Source organism: Homo sapiens, chromosome 7, assembly GCF_000001405.40.
Source record: "Homo sapiens chromosome 7, GRCh38.p14 Primary Assembly".
NCBI lineage: Eukaryota > Metazoa > Chordata > Mammalia > Primates > Hominidae > Homo > Homo sapiens.
In genome coordinates this window covers 157,674,733-157,688,687 of record NC_000007.14, presented here as the reverse complement: position 1 = coordinate 157,688,687, position 13,955 = coordinate 157,674,733, and the positions used below count along the sequence as shown (strand labels likewise).

Below are 13,955 nucleotides of genomic sequence, written 5' to 3'. Positions count from 1 at the left end.
AAGCGGTAACCCCCCCAGTCCTGAAGAGGGTCTGGTTCTTGCGGGGTGGGGAGGCCAGGCCCCGTCCCGAGAAGCACCTGGTGTGGAAGGCGCGCGTGCGTCCAGGCAGGCCTGGGGACCAGGCGGGCGGGCCAAAAATAGGGGTCAGGAGCCGGTGCCTTAAGTGTGATCCGCTGAGTCTGAGTTTGGGTGTCATGAAAACGCCAGCGGAGAGTCTGAAAGAGGCTGGGGGCGGCTTTCTCAGGGGCATCCTTCCCCTGCTCAGCCTCTGGGTCCCTCTCTCCCACCGGAGGCAATCTGCTGGTTAGAATTAGTTTGCACAAGGGTGCTTCCCCCTTTGGACATCAGTATCATAAATCTTCCCTGATGTCTTAAAACACAGTATTTCTTTAAAACTGATGTTTTAGGAGTGCTTAAAGATGGCAAATAGACAATTTATTGCCTTTCTTGTATATTCACTTTTAAGTGTATGCCTGGAAAAACTCAACAAATAGCCCATTTTAAAACAGTATATCCCAACTTATTTTCATTAAAGTTTACATTTAAGAATAATTTTTCCTTGAAGATTCTTTTCTTTTGCTTTTTTGGGTTTTTTGGCCACTTGAATGGCAGATTTGCAAGTACAATTTCATCTGCACGGAGGAACAATAGCTTTCAGTTGCACAAAGGGCTTCTCCCACCCTGAATTCAGACCGCAGTGCCTCTTGCTCTGATAATAGCTTCTGAAAAGATTTTGTAATGCAGAGAATTAATACATGATTATTTCCGCCTGACTTCTCTCATTTATTAGAATTCTGTGGCAAATTCCAAATTAAAAGTAGTTCCGTTAACAGCTTTAAAAAATACTTTTAAAATATTTTAAGACACCCCTTCCCCCGTGTTTTCAAGTTGGATCACTTGCTATGGCCTGAAAACTTAAAATGTTCATCAGCCCTAAAGTGAGTATTATATTTTAGTAATGCCTTTTAGTAAATTTAGAATGAAATTTCCTAATAATTCTAAGAGGATTCATCCAGCAAACCAAAGATAAACTTGTTACAGCAACTCATTAATGGTCTCTAAAACTGACTTCTAAGTTTTAAGAGAAAAAGGTATTTATAATTTAGTAATTTAAATGCACACAAAGATAGGATGAGGCTGGGACTGAAATCTGATTCCTTAGAAATGATACAAATGAAAGCATCAACAATGTTAGAAGTTTAACATTAACTGGCACCGAGCACCTGTATCCCTACGTCTTTATGATGCAAGCATATTTTAATACTGCACATCGTGACTCAGAGAATGAACTGCTCCTGTTAACTGGTTATATCACACAACCTTGGAAAAGGACTAAATCTGGCTACCCGTCAACACATATTTACCATAAAGTTTTGTATTTGTGTGGCTGTATCAGCTCTCACAATTGAGTTTGGGCATAACATGTCCTTTTTTCTTTTCTTTTAAGCTTACCACATGGACAGCTAAAAAAGTTCTGAAGGCATTTTCCCGTAAATGGCTCACAAGGGCATGGGGTGGAAGCCTCATGCACCTCCACTCAGGGGCACGGTCAAAATAATTTAAATTGGTCAGGACAGTGTCTGCAGATGCTAAGTTCTAAGACAGCTCCACAAATTGTCTCTGTGGTCATACACTTATTTTGAATCACAACTTTTGCAATACTGTCTATTCTAAATTTGAGGAGTTGCAGGTGCAGACGGTTGAGAGGAAGAAATATGCGATATTGTACTTCATCTTATTCTCAAGATAGATCTAACCTGGGATAAAATTAACTTAATCATTCCTGATTATTTTTTTAAATTATACTATTCCTGCCTCTGAGAACTCAGCACTGAAGTGTGCCTATCTGTGCATCTCCCCCACCCGGGACGCACCCCTGCCGCTGTGTTACCAGGCCTCCTTCTCCCTCCTCCTCCTCCTCACTTCTTCTCTGTTCCAAACTTTCAGTCATTGAGCTGCCGCTGTACAGAAGGGGGTGTTCCGCTTTTCAAAAACGCCTGACTGTAAATGTCAAAGTCATAAATATTTAAACATAATTTTCTTTCAATTTCAAGTCAAGACTGATAAGATGCCTCTAATTAGTCTGGGCTCTCTTTGGGGTCCACCCGCCGTGGTGCAGCCTTGGGGGGTCGGTGCCCATGGGGGAGATGGCGCTGAGGACCACCAAAGCCACACCTGGGTCAAGACTGTGCCTCAAACTCACTTTTAAACTCATTTCTTTCTCTTAAAGGCCATGGCTAGCAGGAGTTTGAAGATTTTTTTTAACTCCACAAAAAGGGAGTCAAGTCATTGTAAAGTTATTGGAACTCAATCACTTAGAAAAAAATTCTTTAAATCTTCGTTTCTTCCGGGATTCCTAAGACCTGACTTGCAGCCAACAGTTTTTCCCTCCGCATCACCCTCCTGCTCAGCGCTGGGTGGGACACTTGAAACCGTCCTGGGCGTGGAGGGAAGACCTCTTTCTTCGGTTTCTTCTGCGGCGCCCGCGGGCGGGTAGGAAGCGGGTTTCCCAGCCGGGCCCTGGGATCCAGCGACTTCTGTGTCAGGCCGGTGGACCCCAGTCGGTCCCTCTGTCCAGCGTCCCGCCCTTCCCTGCAGTAAGACCCTCCTCGCCCTCAGCCCCGGCGCTGCCCGCGGTCACGACTCCCCGGCTGTCCAGGTCCCGCGGCCCCGCGCGGTCGCCCTCCGGGCCTCCCCCGGCCTCTCCCAGGTTGCAGGAGGGGCCTCCTTGTGGACCGGCGCGGGGAGGTGGGCCTGGGGCGGCTCCCACCCCTCCTCTGCTGGGACAGCGCGGGCCTAGGCAGCAGGGAGCCGGGCGAGGTTGGTGGAGACAGGACTCCAGGGCACTGGGGCTCCTTGCTTCCCCTCCGGGGACTCCTGGGACCCAGCGGGGACCCGGGAGGAGAGCCAGGAGCTCTCCAGGCAATCGCTCTCCTTGACATTTTTCTTTGACCTTTGAGTAAATCCAAGCGCGCCAAGGGAGGCCTCCAAAGCAGGCCCGGTTCCGCTCCCGCGCGTGCGGAGCGTGTCGAGGGTCCCGGCGACAGCAGGTGTCTGCCTCCCTGGGAACAGCCTCGGCTGGCCCCGGGTCCCTCCTGCCGCCCGCAGACCAGGCCTCCTCCTCCGGCCCCCGCGCGTCCCCTGCCCTCACCTGGCCCGAGTGACCGCGGGCAGCGCCTGTGCCCCTTCCTCGGGGAGCCGGAGCCGGCGGTCGCCCTGCGCCTCGGAACCCCACACACCCGCGCGCACAGCCTGGGTGCCACTGCCGGGTCCGCCACACGCCGTGGCCCCGCCGCCCCCTCAGAACCAGGGTGGTCACCGCGCGCGTGTGGGCCTCACGGCGCGGGGCAGGAAGGTTCGGGAAGTCCCTGTTCCCGGGCGCAGTCATCCACGTGAGCGCGCGGTGTCCTCCCGACGCCGGGGCAGCGGGGCCGGGGTCGCCTCCGCGCTGGGGCGGATGGAGGCGCGCGGGGGCCATCGGCCCGGCCGGGATGAGGGGTGGGAGGGCGGCGGGCGCCCCCTCCGCCGGTCGCGCCGCTTCCTTTGTTGTTCTTGTTCCGTCGGCCAAGGCCAGGCGGGACCCGCGGGAGGCGAGAGGCGAGGGGCGAGGGGCGGCGAGGGGCGCAGGCCGGGCCCCCGGGAAAAGCCCTCCCGCCCAGGTATGGCTCCGGGGGACGCGGCCCCGCAGGCGAACATGGACCCTGGGGTGGGCAGAGGACCCGGCCCCTGTCCCGGCGCCGCTTGGACCCACACGCCTCTCGCATCCGGGGTCGCGGCCGCTCCTCCCCGCCTGGGGCCCCCCGCGCGCTCTAGGGTCCCTCGCGCCGGCCCAGGAGGGCACAGGGCGGGGCTGCCGCCCACCCGGGAGAACCAGCGCCCGCGCGGGGACCGAGGAGACCCCGGCCCGGGGGAGGTGGCGCGTGGCCGGCGCCTTAGGTTTCGTGAACGGGCTGTGCCCGGGGAGGGGCGGGGAGGGGCGCGCAGGAGACCCGGTGGGCGGACCCCGGCGGACTCTGGGGCTGGGTCGCGCGGCTCTAGAGTGACTTCTTTCTGGAAGAGGCTGTGTGGGCCGGAGGGAGGGGGGCGGAGGGGAGGGGAGGGGAGGAGACCGGGGAGGGGGCGCGGACCGGATCTCCACGCGAAGGGCGACCCGGCGGCGAGACCCAGCGGTGGCTGCGGGGTCCGGACCAAACGGGGTTCGGGCCGCTCCCCTGGTTCCCGCCCCTCCTCCCTCTCCCGGCTCCCTGCTCACTCCCCTCCCCCACCCCGCGCCTCCTCTCCCTCTCCCCCCTTTCCCTCTCCCTCCCCCTTTCCTTCCCTCCCTCTCCAAAGCCTCCCTCCCTCTCCGCGGCGGCTCCACCGCCTCCCGCCGCTGGAGAACCTCGCGGTCCTCCTCCGAGCCGCGCATCCAGGCAGGAAAATCCGGGCGTCTTTTCTCATTTAACCCGCGTTTCCATTAACTCAGTCCCGGCACCAGCTAATCCGCTGCACCGAAGGCAAAAGGAGGCTAATTAATGACCAGCTTTTCCAGTCAAGACCGGCGATAATTGCTTTGGTGGCCTTTATGATTACAAGATAAAAACGGGCCCGGCCTGACATAAGAGGCACTGTGTACGCTGGGAGACGGGAGGAAATGAAGAGTTGGGAGGCTGAATACGGAGCAGAAAATTACTAATAGAAGAGAGATAATGAATAGGCCGGCCAGGCATTCATGGGGAAAAATCCATTTTGTTACCACGCGAAATTAGGTGGTGGAAAGGGGTTTGCTAATTGTTCTCATCTTGTAGCAGCCAGGACCAAGGCCGGGCGTGCTCCCCCATTCACTCCCCGAGTCATTGTGCAGGGCGCGCGGTCTGCGGGGCGGCCTTCCCATTTTCCTGTGGCGTCCTTAATTGTTGCTAATATACCTTCTAATGAAGTTAATGAGGGGAGAGCCGTGCAACTATTTGCACGTGGAGACAAGTGAAATGCACCGAAAGGGCTTTCTCATATTTTCACCAGCCCTACCCCCGCCCTCCAAGAAGCAGTGAGAATCTGAAGGGTTTTCCTCGCTGAGAAGTGAAGTTCCAAAGGCTCTGCAGCTCCTTTCAAGGAAAAATACGTAGGTGCATAGGTGGCAAGTGTTGTGGTCTGCACCAGGCCACTCCTGGAGAGTGACTGGAGTCAGGTGGGATTCGACCAGCGCTCGCCTTTCAAGACAGGTGGATCCAAATCCCCTGACCTGGGAGGGAGAATGTTCTGTGAAGATGCACAGAGCCAGTCCCACGTTCCTTTGTTGCTGAAGATGTGCTGGACTTGGTGGCTACTTGAAGCTGCAGAAGGCTCCGGGCCTGCCCACCCTCCTCCACCGCCAAGCCTGGCCTCCCCCCAGCACCCCCGACAATCATTGTGCAAGCTCTGGACAAACTGCTGTGCCCGGTTAGAAGAAGGGATGGATACTTTACTTAAGGCAGCAAATTAGCTGCCAAATACGTTACATAAATTTGAAAAACAGCCACCACTGAAGGAAAAAGTGATGCCTCTGACTGTCCTCTTGAGCACGCTGCAATCTGCGATGTGCTATTTTCAAATGATTTCTGCTTCTCCTTTGACGGGGGTTGTTCCGCAGGGCCCTCCCGTTGTGGCTCCAGGGCCAGCACAGCGTCCTGTGGGGCTGAGCTTTCCACTTTCAAGTTGCATTTGGAGACGTGTGTTTTTAGGAGGTCATGCTTTGTCAGGAGCTAACACACCCCTCTCTCCTTGTTCTGCAGAAAAGCAAACTCAAGTTCCTGCCTCCTCAGGCGGAGCAAGAAGACTCCACCAAGTTCATCGCGCTCACCCTGGTCTCCCTCGCCTGCATCCTGGGCGTCCTCCTGGCCTCTGGCCTCATCTACTGCCTCCGCCATAGCTCTCAGCACAGGCTGAAGGAGAAGCTCTCGGGACTAGGGGGCGACCCAGGTGCAGATGCCACTGCCGCCTACCAGGTAAGAGGAGACTTTTTAAAAAGTGGTATATCGGATTTATCTGTTGAACAGGCAGATGATGGCGTTCCTCTCTGGCCCCTCCTCCATTCCCAGCAGTTGTTCCTGTATCATAGTTTGGGGTCTTTTATGAGGACAGTTTGGAACTTCTCATCAGCATTCGTGCAAATACGTTGCAGCCACAGTTGTGCAGCTCTGTATCCGTCTGCTCTTCTTGGATAGCCTCGTGTTAACTCTGGAAGAATGTTGTTAATTAGAAGTGTGGAAAAAGTACAGTACATGAATGATGTATTATCTGTTATCTTAGTTTGGCCACTACTACTGAAAAGTGCCAGAGTTGCGAGATCATTTGGCGTGTAGGTGTTTGAAGATGTCTCAAAAATCATCGGCTTCCTCGGGGTCTTCTGTGAAAAGATCCTTTGACCTGCCCAGTTGCCACCCTGTGCTGTTGTCCGGTCCAGTGAAGCCTAACGCTGACCAGGGGAAGGTGACCCACACGCGTCCCCATGAGGGACACCTTCTCTAGAGGCACCACAGACACCCCTGGAAATGAGCTGGAAACCGGGGAGGATGCGAGGAAGGCAAGTTCAGACCAAGTCGGGCATTTTTAAAAAACCACAGAGTTTCTGGAAGTTCTATGGCGCACATTTCGTATTTAGTATTGTCCTGTAATGAACATAGGCCTTCGGTTTTAACAGCAGCATAAGCCCAGAATACTTACACCAGTCAAGGCGTTTGATTCCTTTGCATATAAAATATCATTTAATTCCGAGAAGATATTCCCATCTGGGAAGGTAGGATGACTCCTTAACCACTGTTTTAAAAGTTTGGTCAGTACATGTGTAAGATTTCCTCATTGGACTGGATCCTTTGTTTTCTCTAGTCACATGATTACAGTGTGCAATACGTCTTGTAAATAATTCATCATTTTTACAGTCGTATGTAAAGTAAATATTATTATTCCATCATCAGAGTTACATGGGTGGGCTCTCAAGCTCTCTCCACAAAGCGCCCTCCAGCACCATACCCTCCTGCTGCCTGAGCTCCTTGGAGCTAGCTTTTCTATACTCTGTGAGCTCTCAGGACCCTCCCCCACATAAGGAATTTACACAATCTCTATGCTTAAAAGAGATTGACCACAAGACAGCTTTTCCTCCCATTTCAAAATTCCTGGTATTGCCATTGAATGGAGGAAGCCTCCAGTTTTCTGGAGAGGGTCACCAGCCCGGTCAGGACGATCTTTTTCTTACAAAGAAATGGCAACTTCAAATGTGTTGAGGCTGGCATTTCAGTTGCAGTGCATAGCTTTGCTTCAAAGCAAAAGGAAAATCACGTTTGAAGAAGCAGCCTGAAAAAAATGTCACATAAACTAGTAAGAATTTATCCAGAAATTCCATTGAGCAAGACCTTCAATGTAGGATGCCAGGTCTTCAGGCCAAGTCTGTGTCAGTACATAAATAAATTATCACACCAGTTCTGTTCCATGCGTGAGAGACGGAAGATCATACAGGCAGAGATTTTTAGAAAGCGTGGCGCCCTTTGATATACTTTGAAATTCAAATATAAAATATTGATAGAATGGAAAGGTTGGACTTGCATGCAGAAATGACTAATTTGAAAAAAAAACTGCAGGTTGAAAATGCATACTTAGGACTGAGTTTGTGATAATTAACAGAAAAAAAAAAGCCTTCCCAGTGACAGCTCTAATTAATAGTATCTGTAATTAAAATCATGCCCTTCCAGCAGGAAAATTGTTTGAATTTCTTGGAGTGACCTTTTTGCTGTTCCTCCTGAGGGCATGGTGGTTAAGTTGATATTGATTTTATAATGAGCTCCGGTTTGTTTAATAAGAATCTGTAATCCAGACAATAAATGAAATGTGTGCTTTTCTTCAATCCAGATTAATAAAAAGGAAAAAAAACTTTTTTTCTTTAAAAATGTGATCTAGGAAAATTTGGAAATGAAATGAGTGTAAAGACTTTCTGGTTGGTTTAGCTTTGAAATCACCACAAAATGCCCTTTAGGGAAGTACTTTGATTAAAGTGGGGGTTTGCCCCATCACGGTGGATTGTTTCCCGGTGAGAAAGTTCTAGGTGCCGAACCATTGTGTTGTTGTGATTTGTGTTTTGGCGGAGCAGGACGCAGTAGTGAGGATGGGACTGTATGATTGTTCACTTTGAAGTTAGCTGAGTAACGTGTCAAGGACTCAGACAATTGCGGTTACAAGGAAAGGATATTTACTTTGGTAAATGAAGCAGGTATTAATTCATTAACGTATCCATATCTCACTTGGGTTTTCTATCACAGCCATGAGTCCCCTGTGAAGTGTAAAAATCTGTTTGAAAAGTTTTTTAAAATATTGCAAACATAAAACAAATTTCAGGAAAGGTGTCTTCTCGCATTAATGTATTTATTTCTGGCTCACTGAACCTGTGTACTTTGCTGATTCTATAATCACAGTGAGGTTGTGGATGATAACTCTCATCACTGGGTTACAAGGAAAATGGAACAATTTGATCTTATGCTTTATTTCATGGGGACATGCTGGAACTACTCAATTCATTGTCTTAAAGCTTCTGAAAAATAAAAAGATTATTGTGCAAGGTAGGTGAGAGGTAGGTAACCTCGGAGAGAGAGAATGGTAGGTGGCAATATCATAAGTTTTATTAATATCAGAATATGAAGTTACACTTTAAACAAAAGAACTTGTGTTCTTACCTGGGGAAAGGAAGGTCAGGAGCAGAGGTGTTCTGATGGAGTGGAGGAGACGGGTGCGTGGAGGTGGTATCCTGGGGGGCACTGGTGGCCTCAGGGTGTAGAGCTGCGTCCTCCCTGGGGTTCCAAAAGGTGAATCCTCATGTCCTCTGTTAAACAGCAGCTGGGTTAGTGTCCTGGCAAGGCACTTCCCGCGTGACCTGGGGGGCCCTCATGTTGCCAACCTCTGCTAAAGCATTTGTCCGCCTCAGCCCTGATAATGCACGCACATCATTAGTGCTTGTACAGAACCCCCCAGCCCCGACCCCTGTGTGTGTGAGTCAGAGCCTGGGCTTGGGACCACAGGGGGCCCACGTTGTGCTCCTGGGGAGTAAGAGAGCTTTTCTTAAAATAGTTTTGAAGCAGTAAGGAGATTGAATTACTAGCTTCTAATGCAAACACCTTCAAACATGTTTACCTGTTTTTCCTCAAAATAGAACTATTTCATGGACAGGGTCAGGATGTTAGAGCTTTCTTCATTTACATGAGTGTGATATTTTTGTTTGCCTTACCTATTGGAAAAGCAAATCTTTTTTGACAGACTCTCATATTTTTGACACTTACCAGGATATCAACCCCATCAGATAATCCAGCCAAGTTTAATTTGCTCAGACTGGAGCAAAAATTGGGTGTATTAACTTTCAGAATAACTGAAATATATTCTTAAAGGTCATTTGTTTAACAGACTACTCGCACCAAACTTCTCCCCATTGTTTTAGTAAATGTTGTTTTTTCTTCTAAATAGATAAAACATGATATATTTGGATTAATTCTGTACTTCATGATGTAAAAATCCAATTTTATTGACTTTTATTCTTTTTTTTCAAATTGGCATAGCCTGTCATATATGCATATATGTGTGTATATATATATTTATACACACATGTACACACACACACACTAAGGATAATGTGAAGACATGGAAGAATTGTGATTTTTGGTACCAGTATACTTTATGCATTCTTTTTTCATGTAGGTGTCCTATTTCTATGGAAGGTGATTGGGTAAAAACTGTGCCAAAAATAAGTTGTTAGATGATTAGAAGACATTCTCCTCCTTTTCTCTCGGAGTCTCTTTGAATGTTGCATCCATTTCCTTGAGGCTTTGATCATCTTTGAGCAGCAAGTTTAGTATTCTGCCAGCCCACTCTCCCTTCCCCGACATGAGGGCAGAGACTCCTGCAGAATTTTCAGCAAGTTCTCTTTTGATGGTTTATTTCACAATACCCAGCAGGTTTCCTTGTGTACTTGGAGGCCTTTGGAACCAAACCCAGAGGAAAGCATGCATCCGGGCCACGGGGACCTCCTGTAAACACAGCGGCTAAGTGCACGTCTCGGTCGCTGCTGCTGCTCCCATTAGCAAGTGATTACAAAGGCAGTGACAGTGTGGTGGCAATTGCTGCGATCTGAGGGTGCTCAGTTGACTGGGGCTGGCGTGTCTGCAAGTCCCAAATGCACCCTGACTTCTTACCCCCGGTGCAGAAAGCTGAGTTCTGACAAAGAGCACAGGTCACGCCTTGGTTCATTCTCTGGGGCTTTAAGAGACCGTTCTTTCTCTAGGTGAGTTTAATCTTCAGGCATTGGTGTAATCACGAGTAATAGAAGTAGGATGTTCACAATTAAATTGGAAAACAGTGACTTTTACTGAGGTTTACTTGACCCCACCAGAAGTTTTTAACAAAGCCTTTTCAATCAGCTCTGTATCTTAGAATGGCTTTCCTCACTATATATTTAAATTTCCAGGTCAAAATAATATATTTTTTGCAAAACTCAAATAAGCAAAACCTATGCTGCTTCAAAAATGAAGGGCACCCTGTGAAAACTGTGCCAAATAGTTTACAAGTATAAAAATACAACATTAAAGATCATTTGTTATGAAATAATTATGATTAGAGAACATTTTATTGTAAAGTCAAGCCTGAAAATGGAAATTTTTCTAATTTTATAATCCTTTCCAAATGTAGCTGATAGTACAGATGTCTACAGTAGAATTCTCTTGAAACTTTCGAGACGTGGATTCGGTTTTGCAGATTGTCCGGGAACAGACTCCAGGCCCCGGGAGGGCAAGGCCGTGCCTCCCTCCTCCCATACTCCATGGCGGCACAGAACTTCCCTGGACTAACTAGGAATCAGCAAATGCTAAATGGTTGTCACGCTGGTGCCAAATCCCATGGTTTCTGATGTGAAGGAAATCGGAAGGAAACCTGCAGAATTTAGCCAGGATGATGAGGGTAAAGGGTACGTGTCGTCCCCAGTGTGGGAAGAACCTGTTTTTGTTTGCCTGTGTGTTCAGTATAGATCATCAGTATGTGGGGTCAGCCGGCTTGGTTTCTGCAGGCTCCATGGAATCTTCTAGATACCTTTTCACCATGAGTCTGAACGTTTTTCTGGAAAGTGCCCCTTTGAAGTGCATTTTTCTCATAAATCTGAAGTGTTCACAGATGCAGTTTCCAAAAGCAGTGTACATCCTGCCGTTTTGCCCAAAATGCTTCCTCAGATACAGCTCCTGAGAGATAGAGCTCGATCTTCAGAGAACAATGAAGTCTCGAAAGGTGGCCAGAGAAACCTCTAAACATAAAACAGAAGCATGCTGCTCGTTGGGGTACAGCAAGCCACTCCCCCCATCAGACAGTAGTCATTAGATCAGACTTAATTAAAATCACAGAGACCACGCAGTGAGATATTTGGAAATAAAAAAAAAATTGGAAAGTCTGAGACATAAAATGTGGAGGGCTGAATTCTGTGGCTTCATTTTGGCACTAGGCCATTCCTATGTTTGCCTTGACCTTGGTAGCTTTTCACACCTGGGTATGACTCGAATAACTGCTTCCTAAGGAAGCCACTTCCTGCTACACACAAGGAGGGGCGCAGGAAAGGAGGTGGGGGCTGCAGGCTTCTTCCAGACGTGCTCACCCTGCACTCCAGCAGCCAAGGAAGAGGGCTGGGCCCCGGGAGGAGGATGGGTGCTCACACAGCACCAGGGGAGGGGCGGTGTGCGTGGTGTCTGTGGAGCGGGTGCTGCTTCCCTTAGGCTTGTGTTGTGTACCAGTCCGCCTCACACATTTCTCTGCCAGAACCAGAGAACACTTCCTTCTCGTCAAAGCCAGGGTCGCTCCTGGGGTGACCCCTGCATGCACAGCAGGTCCTTCCGAGCCCCTGTTCCTAGGCACCCCCTGTCCTCATCAGTCACCCACCCCGTGGAAAGGGACCCTGTGGAAAGGGACCCAGGACACCTTCCCCAGGCATCTCATTATCTCCCAACCCTGTTTTACAAGGGGGCAAAGTCAGCAGCAGATAAACTGAGAGGCGCCCCAGCCCACAGGGCCAGTGGCAGAGCTGCACTGGGCGGTCCCCAGCTGCGCTGTCCCCACTGCAGGGTGTTGAGGGGCTGGCCCGGGCTTTTCTGTCCCGTGGGTCTGGACAGCTCCTCCACCATCTTCCCTCGTAGTGTGAGGCACTGTGGGAGATTTGGGAAAAGGTGACATCCTTTCTTTTCTCGGTTGATGATTTCTTGGAGATGAGGAGTTTGCAATGAAAGTGAACCGGCGGTAAACAGCATTAGTCCACGCATCACTAGGAGGTGATTCGTGTGAAACTGAAATCAAATCCTTGGAGATGACAGAGGAGGGGCTGGGCCAGGTGGTGGGTGGAGCTCTTGGCGGCTGGCGGGAGATGGAGGCGTGGCTGGGGCAGGTGCTGGAGCCATCTGCAGGGTAGGGACAGACCCAAGAGGGTGGGCATTTGCAGGGCTGCCAGGAGGAACTGGGCTAGAGGGAAGAGGTCCTCCCAGTCAGGCCAAGAGTTTAGACAGGGAGCTGGGGTGTCGTGGAAAGGACTCGGCTGCAAGTTGTGTGCCGGCCCAGAGAGGTCAGCTCTTTGAGTTCGTGACAAGGACAAACCCTGCAGTCTGTGGCGCTCCAAGGGACGGTCCATGGCTCGGTGTGGCTGAGTGACCCCAAGAGGATCAGAAGAGGCACATTCTGCCTGCTTTCACCCCCCTCCGTTTCTTCCTTCTTATCTTATTCCCCTCTTGCCACACTTTTCATCTTTTAACTTTTTCTCCAATGGTGAAATTCATGGAAGAAAGGTGCCATTGCCCTTCCATTCCCTGGGGTGCGAGGCCCAGCCCCTCCCTCCCGAAGGCCGCCTTCCTCATCTATGAACTGGGGCCTCCTCTTGGGCCGCCATGCGGATGAGGGCAGCCCTGTGGGTGCGGGTGCCACGTCAGCTCTGAAGCGCTGCCCGAGGGTGACTTGCCCGGTCTGCAGCGACTGTCAGTGCCCGCGGGGCTGGGATGGGTGTTGGATTCCTGCCTGCTCCTCCCGTTTCCAGGGTACCCGTTTCCGCACACTTCCTCCTCGGCATGAGCTGCTCCCCTCCCTTAGACCTGATTAGAGAGGCGGGACACATTTTCTGAACTAAAACTGAGGACATTGGTGTCTGCAAAGCATGCACTTCCAGAGAAGAAAACAGAAGCAAAGCCCTGAAACCTGGGCTGCTCTGCAGAATTCAAGACACTTGATGGAAGGTGTTCGGAGAAGGCGCCCGGGTGAGCCAACACCCGGGTGAGCCCCTGTGTGGTCCGGGGCCCTGGGGGGTAAGGTCAGGTCTTGGTGCAGGTGCAGCCTCGGGCATCTGTGCTCTGAACACCTCACCTCCCAGCCCAAGGGGCTTCAGGGCTCACATCGAGGTGAGGGCTCGGCAGGAGGGAAGCCCTGGTCAGGTGGGCCCAGCTCAGCGGGAACCCTGCTGCCCATGGCGGGAGGCAGGCTCTCCGAAGGACGCGAGCCGCTGTGAAATAAAGTGGGTGTTGGGAGGAGACACTTGAGGGAGTAAAGGGAAGTGTAAAAAAGTGGATTAAACTGGGATTTCAAAAGAAACAGTAGGCGGTGGGGAGGAGATTCCAGCAGGCGGGTACCAGGAGGTAGGAGTGGGTGTGAGCAAGAGGCAAGTCCCACCCAAGGGGCGCTGTGCTTGAAGGCTGGGTCTCCCCACTCCCTGCCTGTAGCCTCTGCTCTCCCGGCTCCCCTTGGGGCCACCGTCCCTCGGGAGGAGGGCATCGTTGTTGGCAAGGAGAAGAAGCCTCGGGTAGCTCCTGGAGCCTCCCCCACCCAGAACTGTGCAGACCCCCCCGGCAGGAGGAGCTCGGCGTGGGAGGAGACGCCCGGCAGGGCCGGAATCTCCAGGTGACAGCCTCGTGCACACGACAGGGTGGGACTCCACAGGCGTGTACAGAGGTACC

At 50.9% G+C, this 13,955-nt stretch overlaps 1 protein-coding gene across 10 annotated transcripts in view, besides 2 other annotated features; it reads left to right on the top strand.

The window, feature by feature from the left end:
• PTPRN2 (protein tyrosine phosphatase receptor type N2) overlaps positions 1 to 13,955 on the top strand; it is a 1,048,768-nt gene that overhangs the window by 899,136 nt on the left and 135,677 nt on the right. For all 10 annotated transcript variants that reach the window (XM_047420678.1, NM_130842.4, XM_047420679.1 and 7 more), the window contains one exon: positions 5,751 to 5,963. In XM_047420678.1, coding sequence (XP_047276634.1) covers positions 5,751 to 5,963 — 213 coding nt within the window. The remainder of the gene's footprint in view (positions 1 to 5,750; positions 5,964 to 13,955) is intronic.
• Positions 11,218 to 12,001: an enhancer, noted in NCBI's record as "H3K4me1 hESC enhancer chr7:157469379-157470162 (GRCh37/hg19 assembly coordinates)". NCBI's record gives its function as "activates a minimal SCP1, AML or CMV promoter by ChIP-STARR-seq in primed H9 embryonic stem cells {active_cell/tissue: H9 hESC(primed)}" and the evidence as "EXISTENCE:reporter gene assay evidence [ECO:0000049][PMID:30033119]".
• Positions 12,002 to 12,787: an enhancer, noted in NCBI's record as "H3K4me1 hESC enhancer chr7:157468593-157469378 (GRCh37/hg19 assembly coordinates)". NCBI's record gives its function as "activates a minimal SCP1, AML or CMV promoter by ChIP-STARR-seq in primed H9 embryonic stem cells {active_cell/tissue: H9 hESC(primed)}" and the evidence as "EXISTENCE:reporter gene assay evidence [ECO:0000049][PMID:30033119]".